This window comes from Homo sapiens, chromosome 12, assembly GCF_000001405.40.
Source record: "Homo sapiens chromosome 12, GRCh38.p14 Primary Assembly".
NCBI lineage: Eukaryota > Metazoa > Chordata > Mammalia > Primates > Hominidae > Homo > Homo sapiens.
Window position 1 is genome coordinate 111531645 of NC_000012.12, and position 27967 is coordinate 111559611.

Below are 27967 nucleotides of genomic sequence, written 5' to 3' on the forward strand. Positions count from 1 at the left end.
AAAGAAACAAGTTGGGGATAAGAAACACAGTTAAGGGTGCAGGATGTATGGACTGGAACAACAAAACCAAGGGCACAGGTGGAGCCACGCTCCTCAGGCTAGAATGGGGTAGGGGTATGATGACAAAAGAGGACTGTGGGGAGCCTCTAGATTAGGGATTCTTAGCCTTTTTCTTAATCCATGGGCCCCTTCAATATTTTAGGGAAGCCTATGAAACCGTATTCAGAATGTACTTAAATTCGTAAAATACACAGGAAATCAAATGAGAACAAGTAACAATGAAATGCAGTTATCAAAAACTAAAAAAATCTGTTGGCATAGTAACATACATGTTCTTAATTAAAGCATTAAATATTAAGATCCAGTAACAGGTTTAATAACTATTATAAATTTAAAGAGGTGATGAACATACATAATAATTTGAAGCCTGGTGCAGTGGCACATGCCTATAATCCCAGCTACTCAGGAGGCTGAGGTGGGAGGACTGCCTGAGCCCACAAGTTCAAGGCCAGAGCGGATACCATATCAAGATTCTGTTTCTAAAAATAATTTGAGGCCGGGTGCGGTGGCTCACACCTGTAATCCCAGCACTTTGGAAGCCAAGGCAGGCGGATCACTTGAGGTCAGGAGTTGGTGACCAGCCTGGCCAATATGGTGAAACCCCTTCTCTACTGAAAATACAAACATTAGCTAGGCGTGGTGGTGTGCGCCTGTAATCCCAGCTACTCAGGAGGCTGAGGCAGGAGAATCGTTTGAACCCAGGAGGCAGAGGTTGCAATGGGCTGAGACTGCACCACTGCACTCAGCCTGGGAGACAGAGCGAGACTCCATCTCAAAAATATATATACATAAAATAATAATTTGAGATACCCATAACATCAAGCGATATGAAATTAACTGAGTTCTATAGGTGCTTAAGTCATAAATACTGCTAATACTACTAGTTGTTTGTTGCCCATATTTTTAAATGGCAAAAAATGCTAAATTTCACTTGAAGGTTAGTGTAAATAAAGATGTAAATTTCTCTTCATCCAAGGTCATCAATGCCCTGAATTCTCTCCACAAATTCTTTGAGAATCCACAGATCCAGGTGAAGAATCCTGCCTCTTTGTACTGACAAGCAGGAAGAAAGAGCCTCTGCCATGAATAAAGCAAATAGGTGAGGGACTGGAAGGAGTGGTCATCAAGGCTGCAGAAATAGGTTTAAGGAAAAAAAAAAAAAAAAAAGTCTGCTGAACTCTTCTGAGGCTCCAGCAAGAGCTGGAAACCCTACATTCCTAACTAATCAGCCCCCCAGTGGGACTTTCTCCAGCCACACCCAGCAGGCTGGATTAGGAGTAGACAGAGTTTAAGATCTTAGAGGAACAGAGAACACTGTGAGGGGCAAGAAGAGAATAGAAGTGTAAAGTTTATAGCTGTGGTCAGAGTAGATCTTGAAAAGCATTCTGGAAGAGAAGCAGTTCCTTCCGAGTGATGACACAGTCATGAAAGCAGGATGCTACAACGCCGTGGAGGTGAAAGGGATGTATGGAACAGAACTTAGGAGGCTATGTTTCCTAAAGAATAGTGTTCTCCAAATGATCCATTTGAAAATAAATTATTCCAACACACACTACAGTTGTCCTTCAGCATCTATGGGGGATTGGTTCTAATACCCCCTAGGGATACCAAAATCCAGGGATGCTTAAGTCCCTGATACAAAGTGGTGTAGTATTTGCATACTCTCGCATACTTTAAACCTCTAGGTTACCTATAATACCTAATACAAAGTAAATGCTACGGAAATAGTTGTGGTACTGCTTAAGGAATAATGACAAGAAAAAAAGTCTGTACATGTTCAGTATAGATGCTTTTGATTTCCCATATAATTTTTTTTTTTCTTTTCAGACAGTTTTTTTTCTTTTCTTCTCACACTCTGTTGCGCAGGCTGGAGTGCAGTGACACAATCTCAGCTCATGGAAACCTCTACTTCTCAGGTTCAAGCAAATTGCTTGTCTCAACCTCTCGAGTAGCTGGGATTACACATGTGCACTACCATGGCCAGCTAATTTTTTGTACTTATAGTAGAGCTAGGGTTTTGCCATGTTGGCCAGGCTGGTCTTGAACTCCTGACCTCAGGTGATCCATCTGCCTCAGCCTCCCTAAGTGCTGGAATTACAGGTGTGACCCACAGCCCCAGCGTATTTCCCATATATTTTGGATCCATGGTTGGTTGAATTCACAGCTGTGTAACCCATGGATAGAGAGGGCTGACTGTATTTGCAAACTAACATTTGAAGACATCAGTGTCCCAGCCACAAAACTAAGAAATGAATGGTAATTACAATTTTAATCATTGTCTATGGTATCATGCCTATGTAAGAGAAAAAAAAACAGTTATTCCCTGGTTTAGGAGTATAAAATTGGGTCTAGTGAGTATAAAAATATTTTTTAAAATATAAAAACATAAAAATATAATAAATATAAATAAATTAAGTTTAAAAATATAAGTATTTCAGTGGTGGCTCACACTTGGGAAGCCAAGGCAGGTGGACTGCCTGAGCTCAGGAGTTCGAAACCAACCTGGGCAACACGGCAAAATCCTGTCTCTACCAAAAATATAAAAAATTAGCCAGGCATGGTGATGCGCACCTGTGGTCCCAGGTACTCGGGAGGCTGAGGTGGGAGAATCACTTGAGCCTGGGAGGAGGAGGTTGCGGTGAGCCAAGATCTGCATCACCACACTCCAACCTCAGTGATAGAGTGAGACCCCGTATATAAAAAATATATACATGTAAACTTTTCAAAAATCAATCAAAGGAATATATATATGTTGAACACCTGTTATCTGTAAGTCACTGTATATATACTAGACACCATGGTTGGGGGGGACGCATTTCCTTAATTCTATAAATTTGTTTTCTGAACTCCAGAAAAGTTTAATGCATTGGGAGAGAGAAAATATACCGGTAAAAAAGACACTACATACTGCTTCGTGAAGATGAGTGTTTGGTACATGATGGAGACCACTGGTTCTCCAACTGTACTTCATGACACCCTATGATGTCTTCAGGACACCCCAGAAGGCAAGGGAAAGTGGAGTAAGTAGGGAGCTAGGACATCACTAGCTCTTCTTCCAACCAAAGCCTTGTTTTAACTAAGAGTCAGCATGGGATCTCATCAGAGGGAAAAAAACTGACCTATTCTATACTAAAAAGAAAATGTTAAAGTCTGGGCATGGTGACTCACACCTGTAATCCCAGCACTTGGGGAGGCTGAGATGGGAGGATCAAGTGAGCCCAGGAGTTCAAGATCAGCCTGTGCAACACAGTGAGACATCTGTCTCTACAAAAACTAAACTAAAAAAAACAAACAAAAAAATTAGCCAGGTAGGGTGGTGCATGGGGAGGCTGAAATGGGAGAACAGCTTGAGCCCAGGAAGCAGTAAGCCATGATGGCGCCACTGCATTCTAGTAGGGGTGACAGAGAGAGACCCTTTCTCAACAAATAAATACATACAAACATAAATTAATTTAAAATGTAAAGTTTAACAGCCATTGTTACAGGCAATAAAAACAAACCACAATGAGCAGGGAAGGTCAGAGAAGACTCTAAAAAGGACAGATGTGGGCTTGGTTTTGAAAAAGTATCTAAAACTCTAGTTAGTAAGGTAGATTCTTCACGTTGGGATTAAATCCAGGAGTAAAAGAAGAAGGCACAGGGGGCCGCGGTGGCTCACGCCTGTAATCCCAGCAATTTGGGAGCCCAAGGCAGGTGGATCACAAGGTCAGGAGTTCGAGACCAGCCTGGGAAACACAGTGAAACCCATCTCTACTAAAAATACAAAAGTTAGCAGGGCATGGTGGCGCGCGCCTGTCGTCTCAGCTTCTCGGGAGGCTCAGGCAGGAGAATCACTGGAACCCGGGAGGCAGAGGTTGTGGTGAGCCAAGATCGCGCCACTGCACTCCAACCTGGGCAACAGAGTGAGACTCCAACTCAAAAACAAACAAAAAAAGAAGGCACAAAGTTGGTGATGTCTAACACACAGAACATGCCAGCTTAGTAGGTCAATAAGTAGATTAACATTGGGAAATAGGCCGGGCGCGGTGGCTCACGCCTGTAATCCCAGCACTTTGGGAGGCCGAGGTGGGCGGATCACGAGGTCAGGAGATCGAGACCATCCCGGCTAAAACGGTGAAACCCCGTCTCTACTAAAAATACAAAAAATTAGCCGGGCGTAGTGGCGGGCGCCTGTAGTCCCAGCTACTTGGGAGGCTGAGGCAGGAGAATGGCGTGAACCCAGGAGGCGGAGCTTGCAGTGAGCCGAGATCCCGCCACTGCACTCCAGCCTGGGCGACAGAGCGAGACTCCGTCTCAAAAAAAAAAAAAAAAACATTGGGAAATAATGAGAGATAAGGTTGAAAAAGAGAAGTTCCACTGGGAAGGGCCCTGTATAGCATCCCAACTTTATTCTGTAAACAACAGTGGCCACTGAAGATTTTGAGCAAGGGATGAGATGATCTAATAAAAGCAATGTCTAAGAATTTCTTTATGTCAATGCCCAAGATTGACTGAAAATGAGAAATCTGGAAGACAAGTTGTTTAGGAGATTATAACAATATTTGCCTTGGTGGAAGAAAACAAGGACCACACTTATTTTCTATTTTCACTGTTAAATCTTTTGGTACACACGTTTTGAACTTTTTACCATGTGTGCATATATAATTTTTAAAGTAAAGTTGTAAACAGAAAAAAAAAATCTACAGTGAGATACTACTTCTTACTCTCCCACTAGGATGGGTATAATCAAAGAGACAGACAATAACAAATGCTGGTGAGGATGTGAAAAACATAAGAAACCTCAGACACTGCTAGTAGGATTGTAAAATGATACAGCTACGTTGGAAACAGCTATGTAGGATTGTAAAATGATACAGCCACTATGCCCAGGAAATCAGCCTGTGCAACAGTGAGACCCCAACTCTATTTTCAAAAAATAATAAAAAGAAAACAAAACAGCCCAACAGTTATGTAAAAGGTTCAACATAGATTTAGCATACGAGCCAGCAATTATCTTGCAGGTATGTGTATGTATGTATGAGTATGCATACACACACACCCCCATGAGAATTGAAAACCTATGTCCACACGCAGTTTTTTTTTTTTTTTTTTTTTTTTGAGATGAAGTTTCACTCTGTCACCCAGGCTGGAGTGCAGTGGCGTGATCTCGGCTCACTGTAGCCTCGGCTTCCCAGCTTCAAGTGATTCTCTGCCTCAGCCTCCCTAGTAGCTGAGATTACAGGTGCACGCCACCACACCCAGCTCATTTTTGTATTTTTAGTAGAGACAGGGTTTCACCATGTTGGGCAGGCTGGTCTCGAACTCCCGGCCTCAAATGATCTGCCAGCCCCAGCCTCCCAAAGTGCTGGGATTACAGAGGCATGAGCCACCACACCCGGCCCACACAAAAACTTTAAAAGTCACTGTTCGCAGCAGGATTATGTATAAATCAAAAGGTGGAAACAATGAAAATGTCCACCAACTGATGAATAAACAAAATGTAGTGTACCTGTGTAACTGTATAATGGAATATTTGGCCATGAAAAAGAAAGAAGTACTAATACATGCTACAGCATGGAAGAAACATACTAAGTGAAACAAGCCTATCATAATATATATGGCCAGATGCGGTGGCTCATGGCTGCAATCCCAGCACTTTGGGAGTCCGAGGTGGGCAGATCACTTGAGGTCAGGAATTCGAGACCAGCCTGGCCAACATGGTGCAACCCCGTCTTTACTAAAAATATAAAATTAGTAGGTGTGGTGGCAGGCGCCTATAGTCCCAGCTACTCAAGAGGCTGAGGCAGGAGAATCGCTTCAACCTGGGAGGCAGAGGATGCAGTGAGCTGCAATCATGCCACTGCGCTCCAGCCTGGGCGACACAGTGAGACTCTGTTTCAAAAAAAAAAAAGAAAAAAAAAGGCTATATATTATATGATTCCATTAATACGCAATGTCCAGAATGGGCAAACCTATGAAGACAATAAATCAATAGTTGCCTGGAGCTGGGGAAAATTGAAACAAACAGAGAGGAACTGCTAAGGGGTTCAGAGTTTCTTTTCAGGGTGATGAAAATGTAAATTGATTGTAGTGATGGTTGCACAATGCTGTGAATATATTTTAAAAAATGGGCTGGGAGCAGAGGTTCATGCCTGTAATCCCAGCACTTTGGGAGGCTGGGGCAGGAGGATCATTTGAGGCCCAGAGTTTGAGACCAGCCTGGGCAACATAATGAGACCTCATCAAACAAAAAATAACAACAAAAATTAGCCAGGAGTGGTGATACACATCTGCAGTCCCAGCTTAATCAGGAGGCTAAGGTGAATCACCTGAACCCATGAGTTTGAGGTTATGGTGAGCTACGATGGCGCCACTGCACTCCAGCCTGGACAACAAAATGAGACCCTGTCTCAAAATAGAAGAAAAAAAAAAACCTAATTTTCTCCCTATCTCAAATGAATGATTAAATTTTCTAGCACTACGATAAAGTGAGATAAAATAGAAAAAAAATCCCTAAGAGAAAAATATATCCTATTTAAGTAATAAAAAGCAGTATTTATTTTCCTTACTAATACATTCTGTTTGTGAGAGGTACAAATTGGATTCTTCAGTTAAAATTCAAGGGAAAACATTTATAAGATAAAATACATCATCTTAGTTTGACTAAGCCCATTAAATAAGATAAAAGGCACTGCAATTAGTAACCTTTTTTTTTTTGAAACCAGGGTCTCACTTGGCTCACTGCAGCCTCAATCTCCCTGCGCTCAGATGATCCTCTCACCTCTGCCACCCGAATAGCTGGGACTACAGGTACATACCACCGTGTCTGGCTACTTTTTGTATTTTTTTTGTAGAAACGGGGTTCCACCATATTGCCCAGGCTGGTCTTGAACTACTGGGCTCAAGCAATTCATCTGCCTTGGCCTCCCAAAGTGCTGAGATTACAGGAATGAGCCACTGTACCCAGCCAGTAATTTTATGTTTTTAAAGCAATTTTCTTAAGCTCTAAATTAGCTAACTTAAAATTTGAACTGAAAATTGTTTAGAAATGGTATCAGTTAAAATGGTGCTGTATTTTACTTCAAAATCAACTAAAAAATAATAAAAAACTCAAACTTACTAATCAGATTCCTCTGAAAGCTGAGTGAAGATCAATAGCCCATGCTCTACAGAATCAAATATACATCAAATTCTACAGCAAAGCCTGAGTGGTGCAAAACTAACAAGAACAAGAAAAAATATGGAAATTCACTTCATGAGGTTTGCTGTATTTAAAAAAACAAGGTGACAGATTCCACGTACGTAATACTAGATTGCTGATTCCCACACTATCTCCTAAAAAGATCAAAAGAAGTTTTAGAAAAGATTCCAATACAAAGATACTGTTTATGGGTGAACATTCTGTTTTCATTTTCTCCATTAGGCTTCTGGATCAGGATCTATTTTAAGTGGGGAGGAGGAGGAAAAGCTAGCTACCTGAAAGAAATTTGTGCCATCTCAAAATATGAAATTAGCCTAGGCCTGGTGTGATAGCTTAAGCCTGTAATCCGAGCACTTTGGGAGGCTGAGGCAAAGAGGATTGCTTGGGCTCAGGAGTTCAAGACAGCCTGGGCAACATAGTGGGACCTCGTCTCTACTTAAAAAAGAAAAATTCTAAAAAGAGAGTGAAAGAGACAGAGAGAAAGAGAGAAATAAGGAGAAATCAGTCCAATCATCGTTTGAGCACTTCTTTATAAAAGGTACTATTTTCAGCTCAGAAGTTAAAGAGAAAGAAAAAAAGAAGGCCGGGTGCGATGGCTCATGCCTGTAATCCCAGCACTTTGGGAGGCCGAGGCGGATGGATCACGAGGTCAGGAGATTGAGACCACCTTGGCTAACACGGTGAAACCCCGTCTCTACTAAAAATACAAAAAATTAGCCGGGCGCTGTGGCGGGTACCTCTAGTCCCAGCTACCCGGGAGGCTGAGGCAGGAGAAAATGGCATGAACCCGGGAGGCGGAGCTTGCAGTGAGCCGAGATCGCGCTACTGCACTCCAGCCTGGGCAACAGAGCAAGACTCTGTCTCAAAAATAAAAAATAAAAATAAAAAAAGAAAAAAGAAGAAAATGATTCTGTAGAAGAACTAAGACAAAAAAAGTAAATTCAGAAATGTTCAAGAATCAAAAAACAGAATTTAGGAATTGAAATGCCAATACTATTAGTGAAGAATAGTAGTCATTTTATAACAACTTATTCTCAAACCTATGGCAAAAGTGTTCAGAATTAGGTTAAGGAAAAGTCAGTAAAATGAAATTAATTCCAATTCTTACAGCTGTACAAATATCTTTTCTGTTTCCCTGGCAAATATGTAAAACATTTTATAGATTCGGATTCTTTTCTAATAAAAAACAGAACAACTGTTCAAGTACACATGCCCACTTAATATTCTTTCCCAGGAGTATGAAATAGAAATAGAACAAAATAGAAATTAGAGATAATTTATCCACATTCCTTCTCTTGCTTTATTACTAGTTTTAATATATCTGCATGCATAAGACTCCATTGAAACCATCCAAGACAAGAGAAAAAAATAATACTAAAACTAGATAGTAAGTATATTAGCATTACACAACCCTATCAGTAAACAGTCTTACTGAAAATGTCCTGGAAACATATGCATTACTTACCTATTCTTTACCTAATAGAGAGTTTAAGAATGCTACTTGTTTTACTTAAACCATCCCACTAGCAGTGTTAAGTGTTTTGCAACTCCCTCAGTACCACTAAGTAGTAGTAATCTTTCTCACATTTACCATTCAGCGCAAGCTGATAGACAATCATATTCCACTGCTTTAAAACTGAATTTCTTTAAAAATACAATAAAATAAAAATAAACTGCATTTCTTAAATCATTACAAGTGAGGAGGGCCACCTTTTCATACATTCACTGGTCATTTTTAAAACTATTTTTCTACTTTTCCCAGTTTGTGGCATGTCTTTTTAAATGTATGGTACTTTTGGACACGTCTAAGTCTTTTTTTTTTTTTTTTTTGAGATGGAGTCACTCTGTCGCCCAAGCTGGAGTGATGTGGCACAATCTCGGCTCACTGCAACCTCCACTTCCCAAATTCAAGCAATTCTCCTGCCTTAGCCTCCTGAGTAGCTGGGATTACAGGCATGTGCTACCATGCCTGACTAATTTTTTTGTATTTTTAGTAGAGATGGGGTTTCACCAGGTTGACCAGGTTGGTCTCAAACTCCTGACCTCAAGTGATCCACCCGCTTTGGCCTCCCAAAGTGCTGGGATTACAAGCGTGAGCACCACACCCGGCCTAAATCTTTAATCTCTTTATAATCAAAGGTATCGATCTTTTACTTCATGATTTTTTTGCTCTGGTAGTCATGCTTATAAAGTCCTTCTCCACTCAAAATTAAACAAATTCACAGATTTGCTCCAGTGTAGTCTGGGTGTTGTTTTGTTTAATCACAGTTTTCTCATTAATCTATTTGGTTTTATTTATCAGTGTGAAGTAGGTATCTAATTTGTCCCCAATGTCCCAGAATCATTTACTGAATAATCCACCTTTCCTCCAGAATTAAAGTGCTATATTGCATATTAATAAAATACCCACATAAATTCAGTTTTGGATGCTCCATACGTAGCCACTGTGACAGTTATAATTCTTTTTTTTTTTTTTTTTTTTTTGAAACAGAGTTTTACTCTTGTTGCCCAGGCTGGAGTGCAATGGCGCGATCTCGGCTCACTGCAACCTCCACCTCCCGAGTTCAAGCGATTCTCCTGCCTCAGCCTCCCGAGTAGCTGGGACTACAGGTATGCGCCACCATGACCGGCTAATTTTGTATTTTTAGTAGAGACGGGGTTTCTCCATGTTGGTCAGGCTGGTCATGATCTGCCTGCCTCAGCCTCCCAAAGTGCTGGAATTATAGGCGTGAGCCACCGCACCCAGCTGACAAGTTATGTTTTAATTCTGACATATTTTGTAGGGCAAGTCCTCCTTTATGACTCTTGTGGAAAAAAATTTCCAAAGTTCTTCTGTTAATACACATAATCTAATAAGCTTTAGAATCATTTTGTCAATTTCTACAAAAACGGATATATATATATATATTATAAAAATTTTTTTTTTTTTGAGATGGAGTCACCCGGCTGGAGTGCAATCTCAGCTCACTGCAACCTCCACCTACGGGGTTCGAGTAATTCTCCTGCCTCAGCTTCCCAAGTAGCTGGTACCTGCCACCATGTCCAGATGATTTTTGTATTTTTAGTAGAGACAGGGTTTCACCATGTTGGCCAGGCTGGTCTCAAACTCCCGTCCTCAAGTGATCGGCCCACCTCAGCCTTCCAAAGTGCTGGGATTACAGGCGTGAGCCAACGTGCCCGGCCAAAACTGAATATATTATCTTTAGAGATTTATTTGAGGAAAATTGACAACGTTGTAGTATTAAATAATTCCATTCAAAGTATGGCATGTTTCCATTTAGCCAAATCTACTTTTATGTCTCCTTCAGCTGTGTCTTCATAAATCTTCAATTTATCCCCATGTCCTATGCTTATTTTTGTTTTTGAGACAGAGTCTGGCTCTGTCACCCAGGCTGGAGTGCAGCACCACCATCTCGGCTCATTGCAAACTCCGTCTCCTGGATTCAAGCGATTCTCCTGCCTCAGCCTCCCAAGTAGCTGGGATTACAGGTGCCCGTCACCTCGCCCAGCTAATTTTTGTATTTTTAGTAGAGCCATGTCGGCCAGGCTGGTCTCCAACTCCTTACCTCAGGTGATCCGCCACGCCTGGCTGGTTTGTTTTTGAGACAAGGTCTTGCTTGTCACCCAGCTGGAGTGCCGTGGCATAACCACAGCTCACTGCAGCCTTGACTTACTGGCTGCAAGTGAACCTCTCACCTCAGCCCACCAAGTAGCTGGGTTTACAGGAGTACACCACCACACCCGGCTAATTTTTGTACTTTTTGTAGAGATGGGGTTTTGCCAAGTTGCCAAGGCGAGTCTTGAACTCCTGAACTCATCCTCCCGCCTCAGCCTCCAAAAGTGTTGAAATTACAGGCATGAGCCACTGCACCTGGCCTATTTCTACACTTTGGATTCTGCTCCCATGTATCTTGAATCAACCTTACTCTTACTAGTACCACACAGTATTTTTTTATCGTTTGTCCAAATAAAATTCTATTTTATGCTAGAGGTTTTTATTTTTTTTATATTTAATAAATGAAGTTATTGTTCTGACTTTGGCAAACATGATAGGGTAGAGAATTTCTATATACTCTAAAAATTATAAAACATGTAACTTTAATAAATGGAAGATGACCATATCTTAATAAACATGTAATGCTTTTCTACTGTGTACCACGAACTATTCTGTTTAGCTTTCCATTACATAGATCCGTTCCACCTGTTTCTTTCTTTTAATCTCAATAATCTCTGTACTGCCTCCATACTGGCCTCAATAAGTGCCACTCTCCAGTTACTGCTTGGCCCCAGAATGAACACATATCTGTGTCTTAATAAACCACAGCAAAGTTGAGGCCGTAAACAGCTTTTCTAATGTCACGCCGTTCAGAAGAGATCCCTGTTTGTTACTCGTACTCTGTTACTGATACACTATCAAGACCAAAAAGACAACCATATGAGAACACAACAGCACACCAGAATAAAACAATCTGTAGAATTTTATTTCTCACTGTTCTCTAATTACACATTAACACTCCAACTTCTTCCAACTACTAAAATCTACACAATTCTTTTATTTTTTATTTTTGAGATGGAGTCTCGCTCTGTCACTCAGGCTGGAGTGCAGTGGTACGATCTCAGCTCATTGCAACCTCCACCTTCTGGGTTCAAATGATTCTCCTGTCTCAGCCTCCCGAGTAGCTGGGATTAGAGGCGCACACCAGCACACCAGGCTAATTTTTTTTGTAAAATCTAGACAATTATTTGCATCGCTGACTCCATTTGATATTCAATGTCATGCAGTACAACATTCCATTTTTCTTGAATTTATTCACGTGCTTTGCTATCTCTAACTCTAAAAATGCTTAGAATAGAGTACATGGCGTATATGAACTCCCTGAAGAAACTGTGAACACCATGAAATTACATTAGCGTGGGCACAGTGGCTTGCACCTATAATCCCATCACTTTTGAAGGCCAAGGTAGAGGATTGCTTGAACCCAGGAGGTAAAGGCCAGCCTGGGAAACATAGTGAGAACCAGTGTCTATAAAATATTTTTAAAAATTAGCCGGGCATAGCGGCGTGCACCTGTAGCCCCAGCTACTTGGGAGGCTGAGGTGGGAGAGTCGCTTGAGCCAGGAGGTCGAGGCTACAGTAAGCCATGATCACACCACTGCATTCCAGCCTGAGTGACAGAGCATGACCCTGTTTCTTTAAAAAAAAGAAAAAAAATTAATTTTTAAAAGAATTACATGTAAAATCTACATGTGTGTAAATTTTTCTAGGGTGAGGGTATACAGTTTCACTAGGTACACAGTTTCACTAGGTTCTCAAAAGGGACCCAAAATAGATTCTTGTATTTCTCCGTACTGTCCATAGCAACAAGCACAGCAAGGAACACATCCCAGAGCTCTCTAAGTATCTGCTGGATGACTATATATGTAAGACCACTTACAGCTTTTTCATTCTTTCCATAAAATAATGCTTCTACAAAAGTGTATTAAGGCACTGAATTTCATTTATTCAAACACATTTATATTGAGCCTGTACTATGTGCCAAAGCACTATACTAGACCATGAGAATAAATAATAAAGACAGTATCACTGTCTTTACTTGGAGCACAAAGAGCTCAAACTGTAACAGGGGAGACAAGCATATAATTTTAATACAACATGGTATAAGGGCAATGATACACACATGATAGGAGGGAACTTGTGTGTGGTAGCTGGCAGTGTGTGTCATGTGGCAAGAGCAGCAGGCAAAGAAACAAACACTGGGGACACACATCTAAGGGGTGTGTGAAGGAAAAGAAGCCCAGGAATGAGGCAGGGAAGGAATGATCAATAAACATAAAAAATACAGAAGAGGAAATTCTGAAGGAGGGTGAAACCAACATTCAAGTGCAGCAATAAAGACAGAAAAAGATTCCAAAGGACCTGGCAGTTAGAGGTTAATCGTAGCCTTAGGCAGGATAATGGCTAGAAGAATTCAGGATTAAAAAGAATCCTTTTGGGCCCAGTGCGGTGGCTCATGCCTGTAATCCCAGCACTTTGGGAGGCCGAGGCAGATGGATCACAAGGTCAGGAGATCGAGACCATCCTAGCTAACACGGTGAAACCCCATCTCTACTAAAAATACAAAAATTTAGCTGGGCGTGGTGGCAGGTGCCTGTAGTCCCAGCTACTCGGGAGGCTGAGGCAGGAGAATGGCGTGAACCCGGGAGGCGGAGCTTGCAGTGAGCCAAGATAGTGCCACTGCACTCCAGCCTGGGCAAGAGCGAGACTCTGTCTCAAAAACAAAAACAAAACAAAACAAAAAAGAATCCTTTTTAGGATGAGCAGGAAGTGAATAGGTTTTCATGCTAAAGGGAAAGATTAACTAGAAAGGCAGATGTTGAAGAGCCCAGAAACAGAGAAGTGGTATAAAAGAGCAAGGAGAAAAAAAAAGATGGCCAGGCGTGGTGGCTCACGCCTGTAATCCCAGCACTTTGGGAGGCTGAGGCAGGTGATCACTTGAGGTCAGGAGTTCGAGACCAGCCTGGCCAACATGGTGAAACCCCATCTCTACTAAAAATACAAAAATTAGCCGGGCGTGGTGGCAGGCACCTATAGCCCCAGCTACTCAGGAGGCTGAGGCTGCAGTGAGCTGAAATCACGCCACTGCACTTCAGCCTGGGTGACAGACCGAGACTCCATCTAAAAAAAAAGAAAAAGAAAAAGAGAACAAGGAGGTAAGTAGAAGGGAGAGAGTCAAGGGCATGATTGAAGTTGGCTTAAAAATCCTCTCTACTAAAACCAGAGGAAAAATAATAATGAGGCCGGGTGCGGTGACTCATGTAATCCCAGGACTTTGGGAGGCCAAGGTGGGAAGACTCTTAGGCCCAGCAGTTTGAGACCAGCCTGTGCAATACAGGGAAACCCCATCTCTACAAAAAATATAAATATAAAAAATTAGTCAGGCATAGTGATGTGCACATACAGTCCCAGTTATGTAGGAGGTTGAGGTGAGAGGATCACCTGAGCCTGGGAAGTCGAGGCTGCAGTGAGCTGTGATTGCATCACTGCACTCCAGCCTGGGCAACAGAGCAAGATCATCTGAAAAAAAAAAAAAAAAAGATGGCACGGAGGAAGAAGATAAATTTGTAGATAAGGAAGGTAGTGGTTAGTTGATGGAGATCTTTTCCATTAACCAACCTTCCCCTTTTATGATTTTTCACTAAATGTGACAAAGAATCTGTTAAGCAAAAGTAATTCTTCAGACTAAATCCAATTAGAATGGTCATGAATAAGAATCGCAGGATATTATACAGTATTAGAATCAAAGCATGCAATTAGTTGTAAGTTTAAAGGACAGAGCACATTCTGTTACTTCACCAAAGCCAGTATAGCATGTATTTTTGATCAGTCCTAAAAAGCCCTAAATGCAGCGGAAAATATGATTTAGGCCAAGAGCTGGCAAACTTTTCTGTAAAGAGACAGTCAAATTTTCTGGCTTTGCAAGTCCTACAGTCAGCTACAACTACTCAACTCTATGGCTACAGCCATCAAAACAGCCATAGACAATGCACAAACGCATGGGCATAGCTATGCTACAATAAAATTTATTTACTGATGAGCAGATTTGCTGACCCCTATCATCTAGGCTGAGAATACTGCAAAGAAAATGAAGCAGTAGGAAAAAGTATGAGGAACAATGGAATAAGGAAACAGAAGTAAAGCCATAGTTGAGTTGGAGTAAAGAGGAAAACATGAATAATGGCGCAACAGGAAGAGCAGAAAGAAAATGAAGGAAAAAAATAGAGGAGAAAGGAATACTGGAAATGGATGGAAAATCAAGTAAAAAACAAGCAGAGATAACAGGACAATTCCAAAGATACACGAATACAGAGCCAAAAGCGACTGAAGGCCCTAAGAAGTTTTAGCAAAATGAAGAGAACCTCAGATCTGTCTGCACTGGAATTCAAATAAAGGATAAATACAAACTGATTTTCCAATGATAATCTGATGGTCTCTTCTAATTATGAATGTGCCAAGGTGACTCACAGCTCATATGACGTAAAGGTACTTTCAGTTTCTCAGTAAATCAAACTGGAACATGTATAACATTCAAGAGACCAAAGGAAACTTATTCACTGTACCGTAAGAAGTCACTATTTCAAAGCCTTTTATTCATTTGCATATATGCATGAATATAACTTTTAAACTTTATTGAAATCAATGATGTTAGCATCAAGAACTTAAAAGTCACACTGACCTTACTCATGTTAAAAGGTTTCCCCAGCAGCCGAGTGTGGTGGCTCACGCCTGTAATCCTAGCACTTTGGGAGGCCAAGGTGGGTGGATCATGAGGTCAGGAATTTGAGAAGAGCCTGGCCAATATGGTGAAACCCCGTCTCTACTAAAAATATAAAAATTAGCTGGGCATGGTGGCAGACGCCTATAATCCCAGCTCCTCGGGAGGCTTAGGCAGAAGAATTGCTTGAACCTAGGAAGCAGAGGTTGCAGTGAGCTGAGATCACGCCACTGCACTCCAGCCTGGGTGACAGAGCGAGACTCCGCCTCAAAATAAAGGTTTCCCTGGCTGGGCGCGGTGGCTCACGCTTGTGATCCCAGCACTTTGGGAGGCCTAGGCAGGTGGATCACCTGAGGTCAGGAGTTCAAGACCAGCCTGACCAACGTGGAGAAACCCAGTCTCTACTAAAAATACAAAGTTAGCCGGGCATGGTGGCACATGCCTGTAATCCCAGCTACTCGGGAGGCTGAGATAGGAGAATCGCTTGAACCCAGAAGGCGGAGGTTGCAGTGAGCGAAGATTGCACCATTGCACTCCAGCCTGGGCGACAAGAGCAAAACTCCGTCCCAAGGAAAACAAAAAAGAAAAAAAAGGTTTCCCCAAAAATAAAGCCAAAGATTAAAAAAAAAAAAAAAAAACTTGAACAACATAATAGTCTGCATCTTATATTGCTTGAGAATTTTTTTTTTTTTTTTTTTTTTTTACTTTTAGCTTTATTTGTGGAGAAATCCTTTAACAACCATGGAACTTACTGGCTGGGCACAGTGGTTCATGCCTACAATCCCAGCAATTTGGGAGGCCCAGGTGGGTGGATCACCTAAGGTCAGGAGCTTGAAATCAGCCTGGCCAACATGGTAAAACCCCATCTCTACTAAAAATACAAAAATTACCCGGGTGTGGTGGTACGTGCCTGTAATCCCAGTTATTAGGGAGGCTGAAGCAAGATAACTGCTTGAACCCAGGAGGTGGAGGTTGCAGTGCGCCAAGATCACGCCACTGTACCCAGCCTGGGCGACAGAGCAAGACTCTGTCTCAAAACAAACAAACAAACATTAATTCGACTTATGACAACTGAGATAAACAACAAACCAAACCACATAATTTATGTCACTGCAGTATAATGTTAAGAACATGAGTTAGAGTAGAAAAGCTAGATTTGTGTCCTCACTTTAGCAAGTTTCCTAAATATGCCTGTTTCCTCATCTATGACGTGGATAATAGCTGTATCTACTACAGAAACAACTTGTGATGATTATGTGAACAAATGTAGGTAAATCTGTTAGCACAGAGTCTGGCACATAGAATATGCACTCAAATTTTAGTTAATATTATCAACCTTAATAATTTGACAGACTATTACAGAAGAGAATTATAAAAGCTCAGAAATGAAATCAATTCATATCTTTTAGGAAAATACAATGTCATATTAGTATACTCTAATCATTCATCCACTTCTATTATAAAAAACACTCTATCTATCCATTCAAGATGTGGAAAAGTACTATCAAATGATAACAGCAGAGACTATTTCAGGCAGTTGCCAATTCTGAGACAGAAAGGGGACTGTGAGGCAAGAAAATAAAGCACAAATTCTTTTTTTATTCTGTTGCCCAGGCTGGAGTGCAGTGGCATGATCTCGCAATCTCTGCCTCCCGGGTTCAAGCGATTCTTCTGCCTCAGCCTCTCCCCAAGTAGCTGGGATTATAGACATGTGCCATCACGTCCCGCTAATTTTTTACTTTTTTAGTAAAGACGGGGTTTCAACATGTTGGCCAGGCTGGTCTCGAACTCCTGACCTCAAATGATCTGCCCACCTTGGTCTCCCAAAGTGAGATTACAGGAGTGAGCCACCGCACCTGGCCTAGAAAGCACAAATTCTCAAGGCCACAGAACAGAGCCACTCCTGGGATCTCATCACATGAAACCCATAGCTCACACCCTGACTGTCCAGAGCCTCACCCAGGCTAATTATAATTAAACCAGGATCCCTAGAAGTGAGAACATTTTTAAAAACTCCCCAGGTGACTAAACGTGAACCCAGCATTAAGAAGCATTGATTAAACCATACCTTCCTTTACTTTGGGAGTAATCTGAGTAAGTCTCTAATAAAAAATAAAAAAAATCTAGATGCAGTAATAAATGCCTTAATTTTGTTATTAAGGAAAACCATGCGGCCTGGCCAACATGGTGAAACCCAGTCTGTACTAAGAATACAAACAAAAAAAAAAATTAGCAGGGCATGGTGGTATGTGCCTATAATCCCAGCTACTCGGGAGGCTGAGGCAGGAGAATCGCTTAAACCCAGGAGGCAGAGGTTGCAGTGAGCCGAGATCGCACCACTGCACTCCAGCCTGGGAAATAGAGTGAGACTCCATCTCGAAATAAAAAAAAAAAGAAGGAAACCATGCCAATTAATAATTCTAAAATGGTTTTCTCCATACTGATAGTACTTCCTAATTAATACTTTTCTTCTTTTATAGAAGAGGGCAATTTCTGCCTGGATAGTCTTAGCTTAAGAGACCTGATGTCCTAAACACATGACTTAATACTATTTTCAGGATACTACGCACTGGACGCAATTGTATAATTCACTAAACCACTGTAAGTTTTGAAATAAGATACCTGCCCAGGCGTGGTGGCTCACGCCTATAATCCCAGCACTCTGGGAGGCCAAGGCAGGAGGATCACAAGGTCAGGAGTTCAAGACCAGCCTGGCCAACATAGTGAAACCCCGTCTCTACTAAAAATACAAAAATTAGCCGGGCATGGTGGCACATGCCTCAGTAACCAGCTACTCGGGAGGCTGAGGCAAGAGAATCGCTTGAACCCAGGAGGCAGAGGTTGCGGTGAGCCGAGATCAGGCCACTGCACTCCAGCCTGGGCAACAGAGCGAAACTCCGTCTCCAAAAAAAAAAAAAAAAAGAGAGAGAAAAGAAAAAATAAGATACCTGAAATTACTCCAATAGTGGATGTCCTCATCAAGAAAACTAATTTTGTAATATATAGCAAAATACACCCATCCCCTTATGAGTAGAGTGAGATTTTCAAAGTTGTCACTCTGATCTGTATTTTCTTGCCTTTCTATAATGAACTAAAATTATCTGAGAAATGAAGATCTAATAAAGTAATAAAAATTTAATGACATTAATTTTGAAGAGGAGCAAGGAATGGACTATCACAAACATCTCAAAGTAATATTCACTCTTCCACATTTGGGAAATATCAATTCATCATAAAAACAAAAAGACAATGCATACCGTAAATGGCTGTTAAATGACCTGGTATCCAATAGAGTAGGGAACCTTTTTTTTTGTTGTGGCCAATACTCTTTCCAGAGTGCTATGTATTAAATTCAACTAAAATTTTATCTTCCAAAGTCAATTTTTGAATTTATAACAGAGGAATATTTCAATAGTATAAGTATAAATAATTTAGTGCTCCTAGACATAAACAAAATCAACTCCAAAGGTAGCAGCTAAAAAAAGACTTGTTTCCTTGTATGGGATGCTGAAGGCCTCTTAAGACAAAAAGTTGTGAATCAAAGACAAGGACATTTGAGAAGATTCAAAAACAGAACACTGTGCTTTCATCAGCATATCAAGACAGTTAAAGAATACCCAGTACTGTTAGCCTCTGAAAAAGCAAGCAAAGAGAAAGACTCCTAAGTCTAAGAGAAAGAATCCTGGTATATTATTATTTCCAAGTAACAGTGTAGAAGAATCAGCCCAACAATAAAAACAGCTTTTGGTATAGATTTGAATAGTGAAAATCAAATTGTACTGAACTACAATTTACAACAGAATTACGTATTTCACTACAGAATTTGGCATATACAAATAAATAAAAGAATTTTAGAACCGGCTGGGTGCAGTGGCTCATGCCTGTAATTCCAGCACTTTGGGAGGCCGAGGCGGGCGGATCACGAGGTCAAACAATCGAGACCATCCTGGCCAACATGGTGAAACCCTGTCTCTACAAAAAATACAAAAATTAGCTTGGTGTGGTGGCACACGCCTGTAGTCCCAGCTACTCAGGAGGCTGAGGCAGGAGAATCGCTTGAACCTGGGAGGCAGAGGCTGCAGTGAGCCGAGATCGTGCCACTGCACTCCACCCAGGGGACAGAACAAGACTCCGTCTCAAAAAAAAAAAAAAAAAGAATTTGAGAACCAAGTTCAGGATTGCCCAGAAGTGCCTTGCAACGTGTTACTGAACACTCAATAATGCCTTGCAAATGAGTAACAGGAATTCCCACTTTGTTCATCAATGGACACTTAAAAAGAGACTAAATTTTTAATATAACTACATAATCGCTTTTAAATTCTCAAAACCTTGTCTCATACTCTGAATATTTTTAAAATACGTATGTTCTACTTCTTCACCCTTTTTCATTTTCATTAGACAATTGTTTTCTACCAACCGTTCTCTACCTTTCTTCCTTAGCCTTATACTTTGATTTCTTTCCAGATTTGCCACATGCCCACTTATAAACTAAAGCATTGTAGGCCAAATGGGACAAGAAATTTTCAGTTGAATATAATCAGTAGCATTCTTGACCACAAAACTGTAGAAAATGCTTTACAAACTAATTTTTTAAGAGATCACAAAAACTCTATTTAATTTTTCTCTAAAGTTCTAATTGTTTTCCAACAAAAATGCATTAACATTCTCATTTTTCTAAAAAATTACCTTACTTGGGCTATTCTAGAAAGTAGATATTTCTTTTTTCTTTCTTTTTTTTTTTGAAACGGAGTCTTGCTCTGTCACCCAGGCTGGAGTGCAGTGGTGCGGTATCAGCTCACTGCAACCTCTGCCTCCTGGGTTCAAGCAATTCTGTCTCAGCCTCCCTAGTAGCTAGGACTATAGGCGCACGCCACCACACACAAAAATAAATTTTTGTATTTTTAGTAGAGACGGGGTTTCGCCATGTTGGCCAGGCTGGTCTCGAACTCCTGACCTCAGGTGATCCACCCGCCTCAGCCTCCCTAAGTGCTAAGATTACAGGAATGAGCCGCCATACCCAGCCCAGATATTTCTTTAAAAAAAGTTTGTAAGATCACTGTGAAAATCTTTGCTTGAATAAATCTAATAAACCATGAGGCATATTTAGGAAATCAAAACCCACCTCTTTTTGCATAACTGGAGTCCATATCTTTAAACTGTACCACAACAAAGTCTGAACATTTGAACAAAATACTCTCCATTATTTCTTCACGTTTCGGCCCCGAACTGGATTCTGTACTTTTCTCATGTGCGGCATCAAGTACCAAATCACACTAAAATGAAAAACACAAGTAAGTACTCCAAACCTTTACAAAATAAAATTTGTTAGGAATTCTTTAGCTCATCAAGGTACCAGTTCTTATATGCCTTTGACAAAAATAATCTCAAGAGAATCATACCCTTTTTCCCAGGCATATGATCTATTATCCATTCCATCATTTAAAAATCCTCATATCTAAATGTTTTTTGTTTCTATGGTTTGTCTTAAGTACATTAATAATAATTTTTAAGAGGAAAAAACAAACCACCACATCCCTCTATTAGCTCACAATGCTTAAAAATGGTTGAAATATTTTAATAAGCACACACATCAAGAAGCCTCTCTGATTACACAAACCAGTCTATAAAATAATCAGTATTTGAAACTGAGAAGTAAAATCATTCAAAGTGGCTTTAAAAACTAGGTAAAACACTGACTATGAAAATGTTCTTTTACTTTGTAAGAAAAAGAAAAAAAGTAAAAATTACCTTCGGACTGTAAGTTTTAAAAACTCCTTCATATATACCTCCATTTTTCACTTGTACTTCACATTTGGAGCCCTAAAAACATATAATTTATTTATCAAAGAAACAGTATACTACCCGGTCACCAGGGATATTTGTTTTCATTTTACTTTTTATACCTCATCAGGCTTCATTCAATATTAGGTATTCACTAACAAAACAATAAAAAAATTTCAAAACATTAACAATACACTGAACTCTTGAAATTCTTCAGGAGGCTCTACTCAGAGTTTGCAGTACGAATTTTAATACTGAAGTCAAACATTTCTGACCCCAGCTATTTTAAGTGACAAAATAATGTACAAAAGACAATCAACTACTAACATTATTTTACACACACAGCAGGGTTAACAAGAATACAGCTATCTGTTGTTATTGGTAGGGGACTGGTTCCAGGACCTCCTTCAGATACCGAATTACATAATACTTAAGTCACTTACATAAAATGTAATAGTATTTGCATATAACTAAGCACATTCTCCCAAATACTTTAAACTATCCCTAAATTACTTGTAATACCTAATATAATGTAAATGCTATGTAAATTGTCATACTGTATTGTTTTAGGAATAATGACAAGAAAAACGTCCGTACATCTTTGGTTCAGACGCAACCATGCCTCTTTTTTCTCAAAAAAAAAAAAAAAAAAAAAAAAAAAAAAAATTTTTTTTTTTGAGAAGGGGTCTGTCTGGCACTGTTGACCAGGCTGAGTGCAGGGGCATTATCTCAGCTCAGTGAAACCTCCACCTCCCAGGCTCAAACAATCCTCCCACGTCAGCCTCCCAAGTCACTAGGACTACAGGCACGTACCACCACGTTCGGCTAGTTTTTTTACTTTTTGTAGAGACGGAGTTCTGCCATGTTGCCCAGGCTGGTCTTAAACTTGTGAGCTCAAGCCATCTGCCCACCTCAAACTCCCAAAGTGCTGGGATTACAGGCGTGAGTCACTGTGCCTGGCCTTTTTAACAAATATTTTTGATCCAAGGTTGGCTGAATCCATGAATATGGAACCCACAGATGCAGAGGACCAACTGTACTTTTACAATGAATTATATTAGACTGGATAAAAGGAGTTCTAATCTATTTCTCTAAATCATCCTGACTAAACATGATCTAAGCAATGTTACTTTGACAATCATTTATCCACATTTTAACTTCATGGAATTACTTTATTCTACCCCCAAGGCAGTTTATCCCCAATAATCTAATAACTTACAACAACTGATGTAAGTATATGAACCATCCTCATATTTGCATAGATTCCATCAAAAGAAATCTGGAATATTAAAAAAAAAAAAAACTATTAGAAATTAGTACAAACTGAATCTTCCTCATCTAAAATGCTTGGGACCAGAAGTATTTTAGACTGCGGATTTTTTTCGGATTTGGGGATATTTGCATTATACTTAGTGCTTGAACATCCCTAATTCAAAATATGAAATTTTGGAGCATTTCCGATTAGGGATGCTCAGCCTGTATTTACATTTGCATATAAAGCTAACGTTTATTATTTGTTGCAAAATGTTTAGTTAGGTTTATGATATCTTACATGTATTAAGGGAAGATTTTGTTTATTTAATATTTTGCTTCCATAGAGAACAGAAGGAACAGAAGGTCAGGTTTTCAAGTGTTATCAGTCAAACCAACTAATGGTGTTTTGACTAAACATGACATAAAAAAGCAAGAGTAAACTTCCATAGAGGAGGAAGGACACAAACCGTAAGGATGGAAGACAAATCAATGGTTGGAGAGAGAGGAGGGTTCACTGAAAAGTGATTTGAGGGATTTTGGTGGGCAATGAAACTGTTCTATTAACTTGATTGTGGTGGTAGTTACACTGATTGTATGCAATTGTTAAAACTCACAGAAATGTACCCTAAGAAGGGTGAAGTATAAATAAATGGGGTAGGAAGCCAGGTCATACCTTCATAGAAGAACCCTGACTAGGTTCTCCCAGCATATCAGCATCAGTGACAGTGCTTAAGTCTGATCAACCACACTACTCCATATTACTACCATATACGTGTATATCTTCCTGATTCTTGTAAAACAATCTAATAAAGGCAAAGTCTCAAAAATTTGTGATAGCTTCTCATTTATTTCTTCCATCATGTGGGACTTATAGTTTCTGCCCTTCATGTCCGGTTCAATTTCATTGATAACATTCCAAAATTTAAGACCAGAAAGCCAAAGGAGAAAAATGAAAGCAGCAGAAAAAAAGCACATTAATTCAAAATAAAAAGCATAAAGAACTCTGCAGACTCCACTCTTGGTGTTCTACGTATCTTTTGGAGGTTTTTCACTTAGATTTGCACTTAGTCATTTAGAAAAGAACAAGCGACTTGTTCTTGTTATTACACGTGACAAAAATACTATTTACAAATGATATGGTTTGGTTCTGTGTCCCCACCCAAATCTTATCTTTAATTATAATAATTCTCGTGTGTCAAGGGCAAGACCAGGTGGAGATAACTGAATCATGGGGGCAGTTTCCCCTACGCTGCTCTCATGATAGTGAGTGAGTTCTCAGGAGATCTGATGGTTTTATAAGGGGCTTTCCCTGCTTTGCTCAGCACTTCTCTCTCCTGTCGCTATGTGAAGAAGGATGTGTTTGCTTCCCCTTCCACCATGATTGTAAGTTTCCTGAGGCCTCCCCAGCAATGCAGAGCATGAGTCAATTAAACCTCTTTCCTTTATAAATTACCCAGTCTTAGGTATATCTTTATTAGCAGTGTAAGAATGGACTAATACAACAAGTAATTGTACATTTTATACAGAGTCATTAAAAAAACACATATAGGCTAATAACATACTTAAACAGTCAAGTTATCTATGACAAAATTCAAAAGAAGGGAATCTTTTGCCTTGGCATTTGGTCTGTGGTTAGAGATCATGTTTTAGCTACTAATTTTCCCCAATAAGTAACATTAAAGTTACTCACCGTAGACTGAGGCAGTCCTTTGTTACTGTTTCGACCTCTGAAAAGATTAAATATTATTTTTATTAAATTCAACAGGCTAAATAAGCTGAAAAATATTTCCAAACTTAAAATATAATTCCATTCAAATAAAGGAGAGGCTATCTGTGGGGAGAGCTCACCTAATATTAAGTCTAAAGGCTACCTAAGGATGGCTCTACCTATGCACTGCTTGCCTGGAGACCCACAACAGGTAGGGGTCATAGAAGGAAGCAAACTAGAAATAATCAAACTTCATCAAAATCAAATAAATAAAGTAAAATAGCCTACTGGAAGAAAAAAACTAATGCTAAACGTAAATTAATAATAATTATAGCCAGGCATGTGGCATGCACCTCTAGTCCTAGCTACTCAGGAGGCTGAGGCAGGATCACCAGAGTCCAGGAGTCTGAGGCTGCAGTAGGCTACGATCATTCCACTGCAGTCTAGCCTGGGCGACAAAGCAAGACTCTGTCTCTAAATAATAATCTTTACTCCCAAAGTAACCAATCACTGTTATAAAGAGCTATTCAGAAGCAAAACACGGATTATATTCTTGATTTAACCAACACAGATGACTGACACCAAGTCACTTCCCATATTTCTCCCCCATCTATAAAAGAAAAACAGGTCATATGGGCCGGGCGCAGTGGCTCATGCCTGTAATCCCAGCACTTTGGGAGGCAGAGGTGGGCAGATCACAAGGTCAGGAGTTCGAGACCATCCTGGCTAACACAGTGAAACCCCATCTCTACTAAGAATAAAAAAATTAGCCAGGTGTGGTGGCATGCGCCTGTAGTCCCAGCTACTAGGGAGGCTGAGGCAGAAGAATCGCCTGAACCTGGGAGGTGGAGGTTGCAGTGAGCTGAGACCGCCCCATTGTACTCCAGCCGGGGTGACAGAGCAAGACTCTGTCTCAAAAAAAAAAAAAGAAAGAAAAACAGGTCATATGATTACAACTGCAGAAAAAAAAAAACTGAAAATAAGCTAAATCATTCAAAGCACTTTCATTTCTAAATAATATGCGTCTATATGTGTGGATCGTTGTAACAAGTGCCTTTCCTTGCCAACTCTCTCCCTCAGAAAAGATGCAGTACACAAAATTTGGCTGTCAAGTAAAGATGAATTCTATTTTCAAGTGAATTATAGAATATAATACAACCTAAAGCTTATTCCACTGAAAAAGATTAGGCCCCTTAGAATAATTAAAAAACATCATTAAAGTGAAATGTTATATTTCTCATAAACATTAGTCATGACAATAGGACTGGAATCTCATTTTAATAAAATAATCACAACACTCAAGCCAAAATTCAAAACATTCAAGGAAAAGCACAATTCAGATCCAAAAAGTCTAGTAACACGACTGGTCGATCCCTAGAAGAGTACTCTTAACATTCTGAGGCCAGTCCTAGCTTGGTCTCCAACTCTGTCACTTTTCCTCACTTTCTTCTCTCATCCAGAAAACAATGGACTTGAATTAAATGACATCTAGGATTCCTTTCATTTCTAACATTCTAATTCTGTAACTGTTTGCCTCAAACATGGCACAGAGATAAATTCCTGAAGTCTAAGGAATATGACTAATAATTTATCTTTTATAGATCTTACTACAAAACCAGACACCATACTAAGTACTTCACATGCAACATGTCTAATCTATCACCTCTACTTTACAGGTGAGGAAACTGAACCTCAGCAGTCAAGTATCTTGACCAAAATCATCCAGTTCATGAGCAGTAGAGCTGGTATTTAAACCAGGTGTATCTGATTCCACGTCTAAGTTTTTCATTCCTAGGTTATGCTGCCTCTCTGGAACTGTATCACAAGGAATAAACTACCTCGCCTAACAAAAATTCTATGCTTTTTCAAACATCATTTGAATTTACAGTTTTGGTAGGGGTGTGGGGGGGTGTACTTATAGTCTGTACATGAAGGCTAAAATGCCTAAATCTTACTTAGAACGATGATCTGGTATCCTGGTGGCTGCTGAGATGCCAAGTTACAAAACCTTGAACAAATGCCACGAACTGTCCTTAAACTCATATGGCCTCCCTACAAAGCTATATAAAAGACTTAAAAACATAATCCCCTTTAAATAAGTCACACTGTTCTTTTTAGTGATTATGTGGTTACATCTTTGACTAATAAAAAGTAATTGTTTGACCATGGAGTTTACTCAAAAGAACGAATCATTCAACCAGGAAAATATTATCATATAAAAAAACAGTACAGTAAAGTGCAGAAACCACTAATTTCCACTGATCTATGACACGGTTGGACACCCAACAGGAATGTTAGCATATCGAAGCAGTATTCTCTGAAATCCACTGAAGTCTAAATTCTTGTTTCTTTTTGTATCCATTCAAGTTATGCTTTACTTTTAATCTTTTCATTAGTATCTCAAACCAAATATTTTACTATTTAATATAGTAACAAATACTGAACCGCAATAAACAAAGGCCAAGAGCATATTTTAGACCTAAGTATATTTATGATTAGATAGATCAGGTTTAACAAAACACTAATATCCAGGACTCTATGCTTTTAATAGTTGCCAAATATGAAATTCAAGTGTGACTTAAAATGCCAGTCAAATTAATATAAAGAAATTTACATGCTGAATGTGGTAGCTCATGCTTGTAATCCCAGCACTTTAGGAGGCTGAGGCAGGAGGATCACTTGAGTGCCGGAGTTTGAGATCAGTCTGGGCAACAAAGCAAAACCCTGTTTCTACAAAAAATAAAAAACTAGCCAGGCATGGTGGCACACGCCTGTGGTCCCCGCTACTTGGTAGGGTGAGGTGGGAGGATCACTTGAGCCCAGGAGGTCAAGACAGCAGTGAGCTGTGATTATGCCACTGCACTCCAGCATTGGTGACAGAGCAAAACCCTGTCTCAAAAAATAATTAACTAAATAATAATAATACAGAAGGGAGAAATGAATGGGGTTGTAAATCAAACAAGAATGGTATGAGCTGATAACTATTAAAGCTGGGTGATAGGTGTGCAGGGGTTCACTTTACCATTCTGTCTACTTTCACACAATTTCCCTTAAAAAAAAAAAAAAGCACCTTCTGCTTCTGATGTGATACAATAGGATAGACCTAATCAAGTTTACAGATCTACCAGTTTACGAGAAACATTAAGATGGAAGAATATATTAACTGATACCATGAGGTTCCTCACAGTTTAAATCCAGAATGCAGTAAATGCAACATAAAAAATGACAGTTTTTTGTTTTTTTTTTTTTCTGAGACAGAGTCTCACTCTGTCGCCAGGCTGGAGTGCAGTGGCACGATCTTGGCTCACTGCAACCTCCGCCTCCCAGGTAGCTAGGACTACAGGTACGCGTCACCATGCCCAGATAATTTTTGTATTCTTAGTAGAGACGGGGTTTCACCATGTTGGCCAGGATGGTCTTGATCTCTTAACCTTGTGATCCACCCACCTCAGCCTCCCAAAGTGCTGGGATTACAGGCGTGAGCTACCACGCCCGGCCAAAGATGACGGTTTAACAAATAAATCACATGGGACAAAAACATCATAGGAGGAGAACTTATGAATTTTAAAATACATATAAAAGCAATGCATAGGCCAGGTGTGGTGGCTAAGGCCTGTAATCCCAGCACTTTGGGAGGCCGAGGTGGGTGGATCACGAGCTCAGAAGTTCAAGACCAGCCTGACCAATATGGTGAAACCCCGTTTCTACTAA

General features: G+C 40.1%; 1 protein-coding gene across 5 annotated transcripts in view; it reads right to left on the reverse strand.

Moving 5' to 3' along the window:
* Positions 1-27967, reverse strand: part of ATXN2 (ataxin 2) — a 147460-nt gene that overhangs the window by 79431 nt on the left and 40062 nt on the right. For 4 of the 5 annotated variants that reach the window (NR_132311.2, NM_001310121.1, NM_002973.4 and 1 more), the window contains exons 2-5: positions 24239-24275; positions 22514-22573; positions 21262-21333; positions 20636-20786 (exon numbers count right to left, since the gene is read on the reverse strand). Coding sequence is in view for 4 of the 5 variants with exons in the window: in NM_002973.4 (NP_002964.4) it covers positions 20636-20786; positions 21262-21333; positions 22514-22573; positions 24239-24275 (320 nt within the window). In the remaining variant the exon portion in view is untranslated. The remainder of the gene's footprint in view (positions 1-20635; positions 20787-21261; positions 21334-22513; positions 22574-24238; positions 24276-27967) is intronic. The other variant, NM_001310123.1, reaches the window with a different exon arrangement.